General features: G+C 39.8%; 1 long non-coding RNA gene across 2 annotated transcripts; it reads right to left on the minus strand.

Annotated features, from left to right (window-relative positions):
* Window positions 1-734: 734 nt before the first annotated feature.
* Window positions 735-11,094, minus strand: LOC124902045 (uncharacterized). 2 transcript variants are annotated; one of them, XR_007061157.1, is made up of 2 exons: window positions 10,954-11,094; window positions 735-991 (listed from the first exon to the last, which is right to left on the minus strand). It is a non-coding gene; the product is annotated as an uncharacterized LOC124902045 (long non-coding RNA). The 2 variants fall into 2 exon arrangements; XR_007061158.1 differs by lacking the exon at window positions 10,954-11,094 and adding an exon at window positions 5,709-7,180.
* Between the last annotated feature and the right edge of the window lie 3,935 nt (window positions 11,095-15,029).

Here is a 15,029-nt window from a genome sequence, read left to right on the forward strand (position 1 = left end):
TAGACAACACAAACTGAAATCGCAAGGATAAAACCACACCTCATGTGCTGTCTCCAATCACCTTTCCCTGTGGTAATATGCTCAGTGCTGAGACGGATGATTTTTAAGAAGACAACATCCGATAATGCTGTTCTCTTTCCGCGGAGATATCCATACATTCCCTCTAGATAAAAATTTATCTCAGCCAATGGAGTCGACCAATATGAATATTGATGAGAAAGAAAATGATACAAAAACACTACGGTTCTAGAAAGTGAAAAAGCAATCTGTTTTCAGAAATTGGTTTTGAGGCCCTAAATTTGTATGTTGAGGATCTATGTGTGTGTGTAAAATAGGATAGGATAAAGATTTAGAGAGAAGGAAAGATAGATGATAGATGGATAGATAGATAGATAGATAGATAGATAGATAGATAGATAGATTAGACCTAATGGCTACAACATTATTCTCATCAACTCACAAAATATTTGAATTGGAAGTAATCTTCCAATTATCTAGATGTCCTCTAGATAAATCTCTTAATGAAGTTTGAAGTGAGATTCAGAGAAGTAGCTTGATAATTAGGAACAGATATACAATGACTATTTAGTTTTCTACACTTGAAGACAATTGCTTTAATTTTTTCCGAGTGTGAAAAATACTCACTAATAAATGAATAATAATAAATAAACTAATTAATTGATATGTGAATAAAAAGTCTTAGTTTAATAAAAAGTAGGGGCTAAATATGCACGTGTTTTATAACTTCTTTATTTGGCTCCTTTCGTTCCACTATTTAGCTTGTAGAAACTGTCTACCTAAAAGTTGAAATACTCAATTCCCCCACATGTGTTCTGAGAGACTGAGCTCGTTTGACTGCTGATTCCTTGGTGTTCCAAGGTTTCCTGGAAAAAGATGAACAGGTAATTTAGTTGAAGACCAGGCATCTATTTTGGTTCTTCTTTTCAGATGCCCCATGTTGTATTCCAGCTCAGTGATGGTATCCTGTGGACTGAAAGTGAAAAGTCTATTATTAAAGCTTACAAACTTTACACTCAAACAGTATAGTTTTATAGCAAAGATCAATGATCACAAAATATAAAGGACATGGCAATGTACTCTGGAGAATTATATCACTTGAAACTGTAACTGTTTAGGAAAAAAAGTGCCAGGATAGCCACAAAGTGATGGGAAGGAGAATATATTACAGAGTCAGGCTGTCATAGCTAGGACAGCTGTCTGTCTCTCTTGGCTCTGAGTCTGGTCCTTCAAGGCTAGAAGGGCCACACTGCAAATTTCTTCTTTTGATGACTAAGATAATGTCTATACTGTATGTTTTTTAAATGTCCCTATTTACATGGATTTTAACTTAGGGTTTTTCTGGGTTTTTGTTTGTTTCTTTGTTTGTTTGGCAAAGCCCCACCTCTCCATTGCAGCCAATCATTCCTTTTAAAACATATTCACACACACATGCATGCACAGGAATTAATAATAAACTAAATTATGCATTTCCTTGTGAAGCTTTGAAAAACAGTTGCCAAAGTGTTCCTGAAGTCAGAGTCATACTGGAAGATTCTATGAGAGAGCCCGTTAGAACCCAGGTCGTTGTTGGGAGAATTGACAGAAAGTGCTCTCAGGAAAAACAAAGACCTTGAAATTTTCAGTGCTATCAACCCTTCATTTGCCCCACACTTTTGATTTCCCCTTTACGAGTACCATCCATGCAGCTGAATACTTTTCAGTTAGCCATTCTGGCTCACCCGTAGCACATGGCAGCCATTCACAGAGGTACCACAGCACTCACAGTCCCTTGTATGCCCTGTATTTGTGCCAATGGAAGGTCCTTCCTCTGCAGCACAGGCTCTCCAGCGCTGGCCTCCTTAGCTATGTCGCTCCCTGTTGCCTGTTTCCCTTTTCGAGACCCTGTTCACAGCATGTGCTTTGGGCCATTGTCCATGAAAGAGAGAAACAATGTGAGTCCCAGAGATCTCATCGCAGGAGGAAAAGATCAACTCCGTGGCTGTCTTTGTGGTGCCCAGCAAGAAATGATGCCTGTAAATGTGACTGTGCTTTTCTGGGGCAGTTTCCTGAAAAGGTGCAGGTGGAATGGTGGGCAGAAGTCACTCACATTTTAAGCCTTGGTCCGAGGCATTTTGAAGGCTAAGGCCATCATTTTAGGTCAAAAGAGGTTTCACGAAATGCGTAAAAATAGGGAATGAGGAAAGTGTGACGAGCTGGTTATCTACTCTGGAGTTCTCTTGTCAATGTCAGCAAGAGGAGCCAATGCAGTCACAGGAGGACTCATATAACCGGCCGCCCCGGCTCACAGGTAGGCTCCATTGTGCCTGCTCTTCAATCGGCCAGACGGACGTGGCTGCTTGTACACCCAGGTAGTCTAGGTCACTCCCTTGAGTCCTACCATACAATGAAGGCCTCCGCCATCAAACCAACTGCACTAGATTACAGCGAGTGGGAGAATCTGGAAGGATTTGTCTTACTCAACGTGGTGTGTTTACTGTGAGCAGGGTACATGCCATTTGTCCACAATGGCCACAGCTCTCAGAGGCATGGCATTGAGACAGCGAGGACTCAGTAGGAGGGAGGGCAGGAGCAGGGTTCATATCATCTGTCCACACATTAGGTTAATGAATAAAATAATGAACGATAGAGTGGGGACGTCTTTATTCTCTGACCATGCAACCTGCCATGTATCAGAGAGCATCATAGCCCCTGGGACCGGCACCGACCACTTCTCTGTTGACTGTGGTTTCTGTTTATAGTGGTCCCACATCCACTTTTCCTGTCAGCCTCAATAACACCATGTCTGTGTATCATTTATTTGTTGCAAGCTTCTTAAAATTATTAAAGGTATGTTACTTATTCAATCAAACTATATAAATAAAATTGTGAGAAAGAGAAAATGATGGCAGTAGCTGTTTTTAAAAATGAATCTTGGTTAATATTGTATACAATTATATACAATTCTATGAAAATTGTGTCTTCTATATAGGTATATCAAATATGTATTTAAAGTTGTTCTATATATAATTTAAAAGATTTTATCTGGTCTTTACGAGCATCTTAGCATTATTGTTTTCATGCTCACCTTGAAATCCACCACAGAAGGCTCACCTCCACGGAGGGCACTCTGTTCGTTTCCTCTGACAAGGTTTTCACTGCTCCTCATGGTTATAGTTAGTTCTTATGAGTTCATTATATGATAAGCTGTTTGAAACTGATGAATCAATATCCTAGTGCTCCTAGGAAGTATTTGTCTTCAAATGACGGTATATTTATTCTTTAGTTTAAGAAACAGCTTTGAGATACAAGATTCCCACATAATAGATGGACAATTACCGAGGAATTTTTTCAGTAGGTTTGGAGAGTAGTTTATGGCTTTTTTGATATTCATCATTTTGGAAATAATTTTTTTTTTTTTGAGATGAAGTCTCACTCTGTTGCCCAAGCTGGAGTGCAGTGGCATGATCCTGGCTCACTGCAACCTCTGCCTCCCAGGTTCAAGAGATTCTCCTTTCTCAGCCTCCCGAATAGCGGGGACTATAGACGTGCACCACCATGCCCGGCTAATTTTTGTACTTTTAGTAGAGATGGGGTTTCACTGTGTTGGCCAGGCTGTTCTCGAACTCCTGACCTCGAGATCTGCCCACCTCAGCCTCCCAAAGTGCTGCGCTGGGATTATAGGCCTAAGCCACCGCACCCGGCCAATAACTTCATTTTTGATTATTAGGTTTAGTAATCATGTTAACAATTCAGTGCTTCAGTTTGAGGTATATATTTATACACACACACACATATAAAGCTATGCTACCTAATATGATTTTGTGTTTCACACTGAGGTACTGAATTTATTTAAAATGTTCTATATGTTTATACGATACACATATATATAACATATGTGTATCGTGTGTATATGTGTGTATATATATATGGATGTGCACACATGTGTATATATGTATATACATACACGTGTATGTGTATGTATATACATACGTGTATGTGTATGTATATATGGGTCTGTATGTATATGTACACATATACATATATATGAACTTATTTAAATTGTTTTGTATATAGGATACACATATATAAAACATTTTATCATATGTGTACACATATGATAACCCACATTAGGCTACCAGATTCAACACAGGTAGCCTAATTCCAGGGTCTGCACTTTTAAACAGATCCTGTGCTCCTCTGCCTCTTTTGTGCTTTGGGTGCCCCACGGAGAGAGCAAATGAAAGGCCTTTTCACTCTTTTTTGGACCTTGCTAGGACACGCAAAGTTCAATAATCTCAGATTCTGAAAGAACTTTATAAATCTATCCATGGGGATAAAGACTTACTGAAAGATAAGCTTTTATTTAAAAATCATAATTACTGATATTGTGTTTCTTATTAGTATTTTTTTTTTTTTGAGATAGAGTCTTGCTCTGTTTGTCAGGCTGGAGTGCAATGGCACGATCTCCACTGACTGCAACATTTGCCTCCTGGGTTCAAGCAATTCCTCTGCCTCAGCCTCCCGAGTCTCAGACTACAGGTGCCTGCCACCACACCAGGCTAATTTTTTCTATTTTAGTAGACACGGTGTTTCACCATGTGGGCCAGGATGTTCTCGATCTTCTGACCTCATGATCCACCCGCCTCAGTCTCCCAAAGTGTTGGGATTACAGGCATGAGCCACCGTGCCTAGCCTATTGTTTGTGTTTTAAAAGGCACATAGAAGGTACAAGCAAATGAAACCTATAAGCAGCAATTAAGTTTCATGGAAGTATTTTCCTCTCTAAAGTCGTAAAATCAAACAATGTGTGGAGCAACCAATTCTTTATGTGTTGAGCCAATCCTCTTCTTTGGATTTTGTTTAGAGGACTCATCAGGATCTTGTGCGCAATCACATCACCTAAGCAGCAGGAGACATCCAGCAGTCCAAGGGAGAGAAAGCCCCAGGTTAGCCAAGGATTTGGAAATAATCCTCAGGCACTTCCCTGGGGTTCTGTCTTTCTGGGTTATTTGAAATGTCCTATTGTTTTCTCATCAATCATGTACAGCATCCAAAATATCCTGATTCATAGATTTCCTGCCCTATATTTGAATGCCAGCTATTTTTCAACGCACTTTGAAAGAATATAATCTACTTTAACAAAATTCTATTTGAAAGGTTTTAGCAGAGCTAAAATCTCTTAACCAATAGCCTCCAATCGTACATTAGAAAAAAAAAGAAAGTCCATACCACAAAATAGACCCAGGCTCTACTCTAGGCACTTTGTAGATTTTAACTAATTTAATCCTTATACAAGTCTTCTTGGGAGGGCACTATTACCCACATCTCACAGATGAGAAAACTGTAGGACTTAGAGAGTTTCACAAGCTTTGCCCAAGGTTGGCACAGCTGATAAGTGGTAGCCAGGTGCAACCCAGGTAGCCTAATTTCAGGGTCTGCACTTTTAAACAGATCCTGTGCTACTCTGCCTCTTCTGTGCCTTGGGTGCCTCACAGAACAAATGAAAGGTCTTTTCTGTAAGAATGAATATTCCAGTATTCTAGGAAATTACAGCACCCCAAATGGCAACATCACTAGCAAGCATAGCAAAGCAGGAAGCGACCACAGATAAGTATGGCTGAGATTCTGAAGGCATAAACCAAATGTAAGAGTTGATTCAGCCCTTGGCTATGGGGTTCAATATCTCTAAATAGCATGGTTTGACTCACCTGTTTTTGAGCCTGTGCCCCAAGGTGATGTTTGGCTGTGTCTCCACCCAATATTTCATCTTGAATTGCCTTCCTCATAATTCCCACATGTCAAGGGAGAGACCAGGTGGAAGTAATTGAATCATGGAGGTGGTTTCCTGGCAAGTTTCTAGTGAGTGAGTTCTCGCGAGATCTGATGATTGTATAAGAGGCTCTTCCCCCTTCACTGGGCGCTTTCCTTTCCTGTTCCTTGTGAGGAAGGTGTCTTGCTTCCTTTTCTGCCATGACTGCTTTTCTTGAGGCCTCCCCAGCCATGTTGAACTGTGAGTCCATTAAACCTCTTTCCTTCATAAATTACCTAGTTGCGGGCAGTTCTTCATAGCAGTATCAAAATGGACTGATATACAAAATGGACTGATATACTTGCTGAGCTTAAAAGCAGTGCAAGTGATTAAGTCTTGCACCCTGGAAATTTTGATTCTGTAAACTCAGGGTAGACTTGGGAATCTGCATTTAAACAAACAAAAAATTCTCTGGGTAGATAAAAGACTCCAGTTTGGAAACCACTGAACTGGCTAATTTAGTCTTTCTCAAATTCTGATCTTCAGAGAGCAGTTCACCTGGAGCTTGTTAGAAATTCAAATCGTCAGTCCCCTCCCTGGATTTACTGAATCAGGAACTCAGTTTGATAGACCCTGCAGGTGAGTTGTGGCAGGTGTGTTGAGCAAGTCCTCTTCTTTGAATTTTGTTTACAGAGGACTCGTCAGGACCTTGTGGGCAATCACATCACCTGAGCAGCAGGAGACATCCAGCAGTCCAAGGGAGAGAAAGCCCCAGGTTAGTCAAGAATTTGGAAATAATCGTCAGGCATTTCCCTGGGGATCTGTCTTTCTGGGTTATTTGAAATGTCCTATTGTTAAAGTTTGAGAACCATTGCCCTAACTTGAAAACAAATCCTCGGGTCACAGTGCATTAGCCTAGACATCAACTCTCTAAAGAATAATATCAGTGCTCAATGTTCGATGTGACTTTGTTTTACAGCTCCTTCTGAAATTCTTTTAAAATCATGCTTCAGTATGTTTTCCCTTTGTACAAAAAGGAAACCATGTTGCATCTGACATTCTCCAGAGTAATAGTTAAGACAAAAGAAGTCTTTGATAGTGTGGAAAACCCAGTAGAGTCGTTTTTTAATCCTGCTTGAATTCAGTAATTTTTAGAAGTTATACTTTTAGTTAAAAAAATAAGTTTCCCTATTTATGATTCAAATGAAACAATACTCGAAGAATAAGGCACCATTACTTTTCTCTGAGCCAAGATAGTACAAAACCTTCACAGGTGCTAATTAATCTCCTTACTGTTTCTGGGAAGTAGAAGTGAAGAATACTGCCCTCGTTGGATGTGAGAGGAAATGGAGGGACATGAACAGTTGTCATCTAATTTGTATTCACTTCCCAACAATTCGATACTCGTGTTCTTTCCATTTTTAGTCGACTCTATAGTAACAGAGAGTTGACTTTTAGTGACTAATTTCTTATTTTTAGTAGCATTAATTTGTAATTTACCACTGGACACATCTTAGGTATGTTATTTTGGCTTACAGTTTATAACAGCCTGTATCGAAGATTTATACATTATTTTGAGCCATAATAAATTAAAATAACTAAAATACTTCCCTGAAAAGAGATTCACCAATTGACAATAATCTTTAATCACTTGACACATATTTATAGAACATGCTCCAAAGCAAGTCAACCTTCTTTCGATCACCCAGCCAAAAATTCCAAATGCCAATATTCTAATTTTCAGATATATGAAGTTATTTTTCTAAATATCTCACTGTTGTTTTTCACAGTATTAATATAGAATAGTATTAACATGTGCTGCCCAGGGCACAATGGAGATTCAACACATGGTAATAAATGTACCTGCTACTCTCTGTCCCCAGAAAGATACACAAATAGCCAGACAGATCATAAATGATAGACAGGTAGGCATATTGATGATACAGATAGGTAACAGATGTTAGGTAGACAGACATATAGATGATAGATAATAGGTAGATAGATGCTATAGAGATATATAGATTATAGGCAAGCTTAACATCACGCATTGTTTATTGGGCATACAGAATACTCACAGAAGTATTCTCTGTGTGTGTCTGTGTGTGTGTGTGTATAAATATTTTAGGTCATTTGCTAATTAGATATGTATTTTGGGGCCGCAATGTTAAGTCAGCTGACATTGAGTTGGTTGAATTATTTTGGGGGTGTTTAAATCACTCTACCAGTAGGCCGAGATTCTCTGTACTCGTCCAACAGTGTCCTATGATTGTGAAGAGTCCGTAGGGAGCCTTTCACATGTTTCACTGATTCTGGCTCTTCATCAACAGTGCTATCACCAAGGGCCCTCTTCCCATTGATTCATGCAACACATGCTTGTTCAACACCCACCATTGACTGGCCACTGTGCTAAATGCTGAGCATTAAAAGATGAAGAAAGATAATGTTCCAGTTGGTGAGAGCACAGACATCAAATCTATAGACTGCATTTCCTTGCCACAGTTCATCTGTCACTCCTGACTTTATCCATGTTATTGATGCAGTTTGGAAGTGAGGAGTCTGGACCCAAGAGCCAGACTTCTCCTGCACTTATGGGTCCTGAGACCCTGGGCTCTTACATAATCTCTCAGTATGTAAAATGAGGATAATACGACTATTTCCCTCAACAGACTGTTTTAACCTATTTCCCATTTAGGAAAAAAAAATGTGCAGCTCACTGCCAGTGCTCATTTCTTAAGGCAAATGGGAAAGGGGTTAAGGGTTCTCTGAGTTAATGCATGCCGAGTTCTTAAAGAATATAGGAAGGTTTCATGAATGTAGCTCTTGTTATTACTTTGTGAAGATGTCCATGGCACAGGTGACATTGACTTGCAGAAATGACTGGCTGTGCTGAGCACCTGTGCTGTAGAAGGCTCTGGAAGTACACCTGGCCTGCTTGCTATCCATATCCCTTTAGAGCATCATGCTGCCTTTGTTTTTCTACAACTGAGACCCTGGACATTTTCTCTTCTGTCTAGGATGAAAGTTATTTTTAGTCTGTTTTTTTCGTTTGTTTGTTTTGGAGAAGTGGGAACACACTCATGCTGATTTAGTAAGAACATCTTGGGCAGCATTGGGGCAGTGGCTTTTCCCCGCCAAGGAGACAAAAGATGATGTATACCCTAATTCCTGTATCATCTGCACTTCTCCCAAAAGACTGAGAGGTCTGCCTTAAATTCTATGGAATCTTTAAGTGATTTAAGAAATATGCTCTCTGGGCTGTACTGGAATACAAGAGCTCAGTTTTGCAGACTTAGTGCAGCAGTTCTAATTTATGCATTTGGAAAGAGAATGCCATTGCTCTCTGCAAAGCTGTGAGATCCGTGCAGTCCAGCATCTACTTTCATGCATCGCAGGAAGCTCTATTTCCATTCCTGACAAGCCCATCTCTGGCTCAAACTGTGAGGAAAGAGAAGCAGTTCCTGAATGAGGCCCTGACAGGGAGACAGCTACAACAGGTGGCCAGGAGGGATGGGAAGTAGCTCTTGTTGATGTCTTCAAATTCAGTGCATATGAATTTCAAAATGTAAACATTTTAAGGCAATTTGGGAGAAGGGAATTAAGTTTTATTTTGAAAGTAAGCAAGGAGCAAAGGGTTCTCAGCAAATCTATCCCCCCTCCTCACCCTTCTCCCGGTGAGGACCCCTGCACGCCGCTGCCTTCCTTGCGAGCAAGGTGTCCATCCACAGCAATTTCATGTGCTCTCCACTCACAGCCAGAGACTGTGGAAATGGAGCTGTCAGCCCTGAAAATAGAGATGCTTTGGTAGAAGTTAAATAACAAAGCCGTCGAAAGTGCATTGCTCTCCATAGGTCCCTGGCTGTAATATTATTCATACCATCTTCCTTTTGCACCAGGCTGCAAACTCATTTTTAAAAACAATTGTCAATATATGTAGAGCTGCTGGAGCTAAACCTGCAGGCAAGAGCCGGGATTGAGGCAACTTTACAAAGCTACTGCTTTTTGATTGCTCTCTGTTTAAAGTCCATGAAAATGAAAGACTTACAGGCTTCCCCCTTTCCAAGCAAAGCACTTTAGTGGCTCATTATTTTCAATGGTTGGGGTCTATGGAGGATTTTATTCTGCCCTAGCAGGTAGATTTCCTTTATTGTTAGCTCATTCGGTCCCACTTGATGCGGGATGGGTGGATGGAGATTTTCTGCAGCATTCCTGATAGGAGGCTGTCTAGCAACTGCTTCAGAGTCTCTGGCCCAGCATTTGCTGAGGTTCTATTATGCCTGCATCATGGTCCTGGGTTCTTTTCAAATGTCATCTTGTTTTGTGGTCCCCCGGATGCAGATGGCCTGGTGTGTTCACTTAGCCGAACTGGAACTGAGGTTTTGAGCCTAAAGAACTTGCTCAAGGTCATAGAACTGGTGAAACAAACCTCAGTGTGCCCTAAGAGCCTTGGGACACCATGGGCACTAAAGAAAATGTCATTTTCTTTTTGTCCAAAAAATTGTCATTATAAGACACTATTTCCCTCAGTCAGCCTTGTATTTCCCTGGCCTTTTTATTTTTATTCTTTGCCATTTTCCTTGGTTTTCATCTTTTTCACTGTACACTCTGAATCAATGGTCTACAACTTTTATGACATTAAAGACCTTTTATCCTTCACTGGAGGAACTTTCTGCTGAGGAACTTTTCCTGTTTTAGCAGATGGATTAATAAGGAGTTATTCATCTCTCCATTTTAAAGATTGAATAATGTATAATGATACACGTGTCTAGCCACATAGTTGAAATAATTGTGGTTAAAAAAACTGGCATATCCTATGGGATTCAAGTTTCAATACTTCCAAGAGTTTTTGAAATATTGCAAATAAAAAAACTGACATTACTAAGTCTGAGATTTCTAAGGGGTTCCAAAGCATCGCCATACAAATTTTTTCCTATATTTCATTTGCTGTCATTGGCTTCCTTTGTGATGGAGAATAAAATCATTGTCACTGGGGCCAGTCTTGCCTGCCCCTTCTCCTTTGCATTCCCTGACAGCCTCTCCTTTTTCCTAGTCCAGATTTGTCATGATGCCTGCTGCTTCCTTCTTACATTTATCACATCTCCTCTCCCGCCATTCTCCTCCTCTATATGCACACTGCCCTCCAGCAAGATCAGCTGGTGCACCAGAATAATGTGAACTGGAAGATTAATTATTGAAAGGATACTTACCACAGGCTGTTCTGGGGGCATGTGATTCGCGTTAACCACAGCACTTTTACTGCTCCTTTCCACTGTTGTAAATCCCCTTTCCTATAGGCTGCCCACCTAGAAAAGAGCAATGGAAGGCCCTGTTCCTTTATCAATACCTCTTAGAAGCTCCCTCACATCCTGGGTGGCAGAATGAATGGCTGTCCCAGCATGCTTCTCTGCTGGCTGATTGTAACACTTTTCACATCCTATCACCCATGAGGACAGAAATTGTTTTGTTTATCTCTTTGTTAGCAGAATCTGTTACAACATTGTTTGTTCAGTAAGAGTCACTGAGTTGAATCCTTACTAAGGTATTACTCTTGTCATGCATATTTTAATCTGAATGGGCAACTCTAAAACAGAGAAGGACAGGAAGGGCAGAAGAGAGAGAGGGCCGTAGAGGGACAGATAAAGTTAATTTAACTGAAGAAAGAACACGATGGTTTTAATGGTTTAATGATTAAATTTATATTGGGGAATAGTTTAGGAAGGACATTCTGTGTGTGCTATATTTGCACAGGACCCAAATTATATTTTTAAAAGCATAAGTGGATGAAAGGTTATGAATTGTTGGCAATAAAAGAGGAAGTCTCTCCTATCATACAGAAGGATAAAATAACATCGGCCTGTCTCAGAAATCTGAGGCCACTGCAACATCAGTGAGATGTGTTTAGGATCACCAACAGATTAATGCATTACAGAATTTACGCTTTAAGGGATTCAGTACAAACTGTTTTCAAAACAATTCAAATATTAGCTCCATTTCCATATAATCTTGGGGAAGTCAGATAATTCTATTTCAATCTCACAATATGCAAATTAGAATGATGCCACATAGGCAAAGGGTTATGGATTCTTAAAACATCATCCTTTTAAAATGCACCATTATAACATTAAAGGTGTTAATTTACACAGTCTTTTTTTTTAATTTCTTAAGTTGAGCAATAACTGTTGAGCACTTCTTGGCATGGCCAGGAATTCGAAAATATAGCAGGCATGAATCCTGCACTTGGGAAAATTTATATGCTAAGAAAAAGTATGTAGATAAATAATGGTAATCAAGACAGGATGTTTAACATTTTAATTAGACAAGTTCAGAAGAAGTGATGGGAAGGAGAAGGGAGAGAGAATTTCCCTGGAATTGGAAGTCCTTCTGAGTTGCTTTTGAGTGGGTGATGGAGGATGAATATGTTTAAACTGTGAAGTCAGCAGAAGATACTCCAATGGGGTAAAGAATGAAAGCAAGGTACGGAGATGGCAGTACATGGAAGTGGTGCTTACAGTACATGAAACGTGGAGCGTGGTAATGTGTGGCACAGGTGATCGTGGGCTGGGGCGTGAGAAGCAGGGGTAATTTTACAGCGGGGAGCAATAAGTTTGAAGTTCTACCATGAAGATTTATGTGAAAACAAGAACAGAAAGACCACTTGTTAGGAACTGCAAAAGTCTGGTGAGGCATTAGTATGTCCTAGAGCAATGAAAGACGCTGTAAAAAGACGAGTGGAAATGGGTGGATTACTGAATAAATGACATCACTGAATTCTCATAAAATTAGTGATCATAAAAATGAGCAGGAAATGCTGGACATACACAAAACTTCCATAAAAGTTTTCTTTTTAAAAACTTATTTCTCATAGGTGATGGAAGAATTTACTGGCAAAAGGCCAGTCTGAGTTCATAGGGCAGTAGATCCATTCAGGAGAATCGGGAGTATTCAGTGAAAATGGTGACTTATTATAAGAACCAAGCAAAGGCATAGCTTTTATTGGAAACCTTTGGGACCAGGCATCAGGATTATGCACCAATTTTGGTTTCAAGCAGGGCCGTAGCGTTTGGGTTTTTATTAGATTCTTCATTAAACTGGATTTCCAAGTGTATTTCACATTTTAAACAGCTTTGCATTTCCTGGTTTATTTTCCTCTTTTAGAAAGTTTATTGCCAGCAGAATTTATTTTTTAATTAGCAAATAGAAGGCTCTAGACAAGCTCTACAGAGGTTTTCCAGAAACAGCTTGAGTTTCCCAAATGCATCTTAGGTGAATTGTCATTAGAGTAATCCACTTTTTGTTTTTCTTTGACTACAATTCCAATCAGATTATGTCCGTTTTTGTTTGATGCATTAATAAAATAGTATAAAAGTCTACATATTTTGCTTTTCTATTGAATGGTAACTGTTTGAGAAAAAACAGACAGAACAAAGTCAAAGCACTCTGCTCCCCTAGGCAATGGCGAGCTCCGCTTATGACTCTGTTGAAAAGCAGGCACGGGAGGAAGCCGACTGGAAAAGGAAGACACTGAGATAAACACTCCTTCTTTCTTACTTTTTTTTTTTTTTTTTTGAGATGGAGTCTCATGCTGTCACCCAGGCTGGAGTGCAGTGGCGGGATCACTGCTCACTCTCGGCTCACTGCAACGTCCGCCTCCCGGGTTCAAACGATTCTCCTGCCTCAGCCTCCTGAGTAGCTGGGACCACAGGCATGCGCCACCATGCCTAGCTAATTTTTATATTTTTAGTAGAGACGGGGTTTCACCATGTTGGCCAGGGTGGTCTCAATCTCTTGACCTCGTGATCTGCCCGCCTCGGCCTCCCAAAGTGCTGGGATTACCAGCATGAGCCACCGTGCCCGGCCGCTGCTTTCTTATGTTCGTTTCTGGGTATTCGTAGTATAGAAATGTATCCAGTCTTGTTTACTTTTCTCAATTTGACACCTTAGTTACTGAGAAGCATTGAACAAAAGCCTCCTTAAGGATGCAAAGAAAATACAGAATATATATAGTGAGAAAAAATGGGAAAATATTATGTTTAAATGTCACTACACTTCTTAAAATATTCATGAGAATAGTTTTGTACTTAAATTGAGTGCTGGTGGTTGAAAAGTGGAGTTAAAAAGAGGAGGAGGAGGAGGCCACTGGAGATTTTGAGAGATTTGCATACATCTTTCAAGAAGATTAATGTTTCTGCCTGGAGCGGGGGCTCACGCCTGTAATCCCAACAGTTCGGGAGGCTGAGGCAGGCTGATCATGAGGTCAGGAGATTGAGACCAGCCTAGTCAACCCTGTCTCTAGAGAAACCCTGTCTCTACTAAAAATACAAAAAATTAGCCAGGGTTGGTGGTGCATGCCTGTAATCCGAACTACTCAGGAGGCTGAAGCGGGAGAATCGTTTGAACCCGGGAGGCAGAGGTGGAGGTTGTAGTGAGCCAAGATTGCTCCACTGCACTGCAGCCTGGGTGACAGGGTGAGACTCCATCTCAAAAAAAAAAAAAAAAAAAAAAAATTATTGGTATTGGTCTTTTATATTAAAAAGTAAAAGTAGTAGAGGTCTACTGTTAAAAAGGATAAGTAATAAATGTTATATAAAGTAAAAATTAAAGGTGTTATTTCTCATTACTGTCTTGACCAAAAACCGTCCCCAAATTAGAAAGTCAAACATCCATTATGTGTCATTCTAGATCTTTTCATCATATATAAACAGCCCACCTCTAACTCTTAAAGCTATATTTATCTTGCTATTACCAATCCTTTTATTTCTATCAACACCACTTTATTTTTCTTACCTAATTTTGATCATACCCTATGTATTGTCATTTTATTCATAAGTTCACATTACCGTGTTTGAAGTACATACTTCTATATATGTATATGCATACCAACCATATTCTTTTCAGCAATTGCACAGTATACCGTGATATTGCTGAACCATAATTGAGTCATTCCTTTTTTAATAGAATTTAATAAAAACAGACCAATAACTGAGCCATTTTTTCATTAATAGGAAATTGATTTCCCATTGCTGGTATAGGACATGAGAATTCCTGTACGTTAATATTCAATTCACATGAACGGGCATATTTACTCACAGGTGCGAGTATTACTGAGGGTAGATTCTGAGGAACAGAAAAGAGAGACAATATTCATGAAGAATGCGGAAGACATAGAAACAGGAACACAGAGAGGGACTTTGGGTATCAACACAGGCAGGTTGTAAACGATCTGAAATTCACTTAATTGAACCAAAATTACAGGCACAAAAGTAAGCAAGATGATTCTTACAAA

The sequence above is a fragment of the Homo sapiens genome, chromosome 8 (assembly GCF_000001405.40).
Source record: "Homo sapiens chromosome 8, GRCh38.p14 Primary Assembly".
In the NCBI taxonomy this organism is placed as follows: Eukaryota; Metazoa; Chordata; class Mammalia; order Primates; family Hominidae; genus Homo; species Homo sapiens.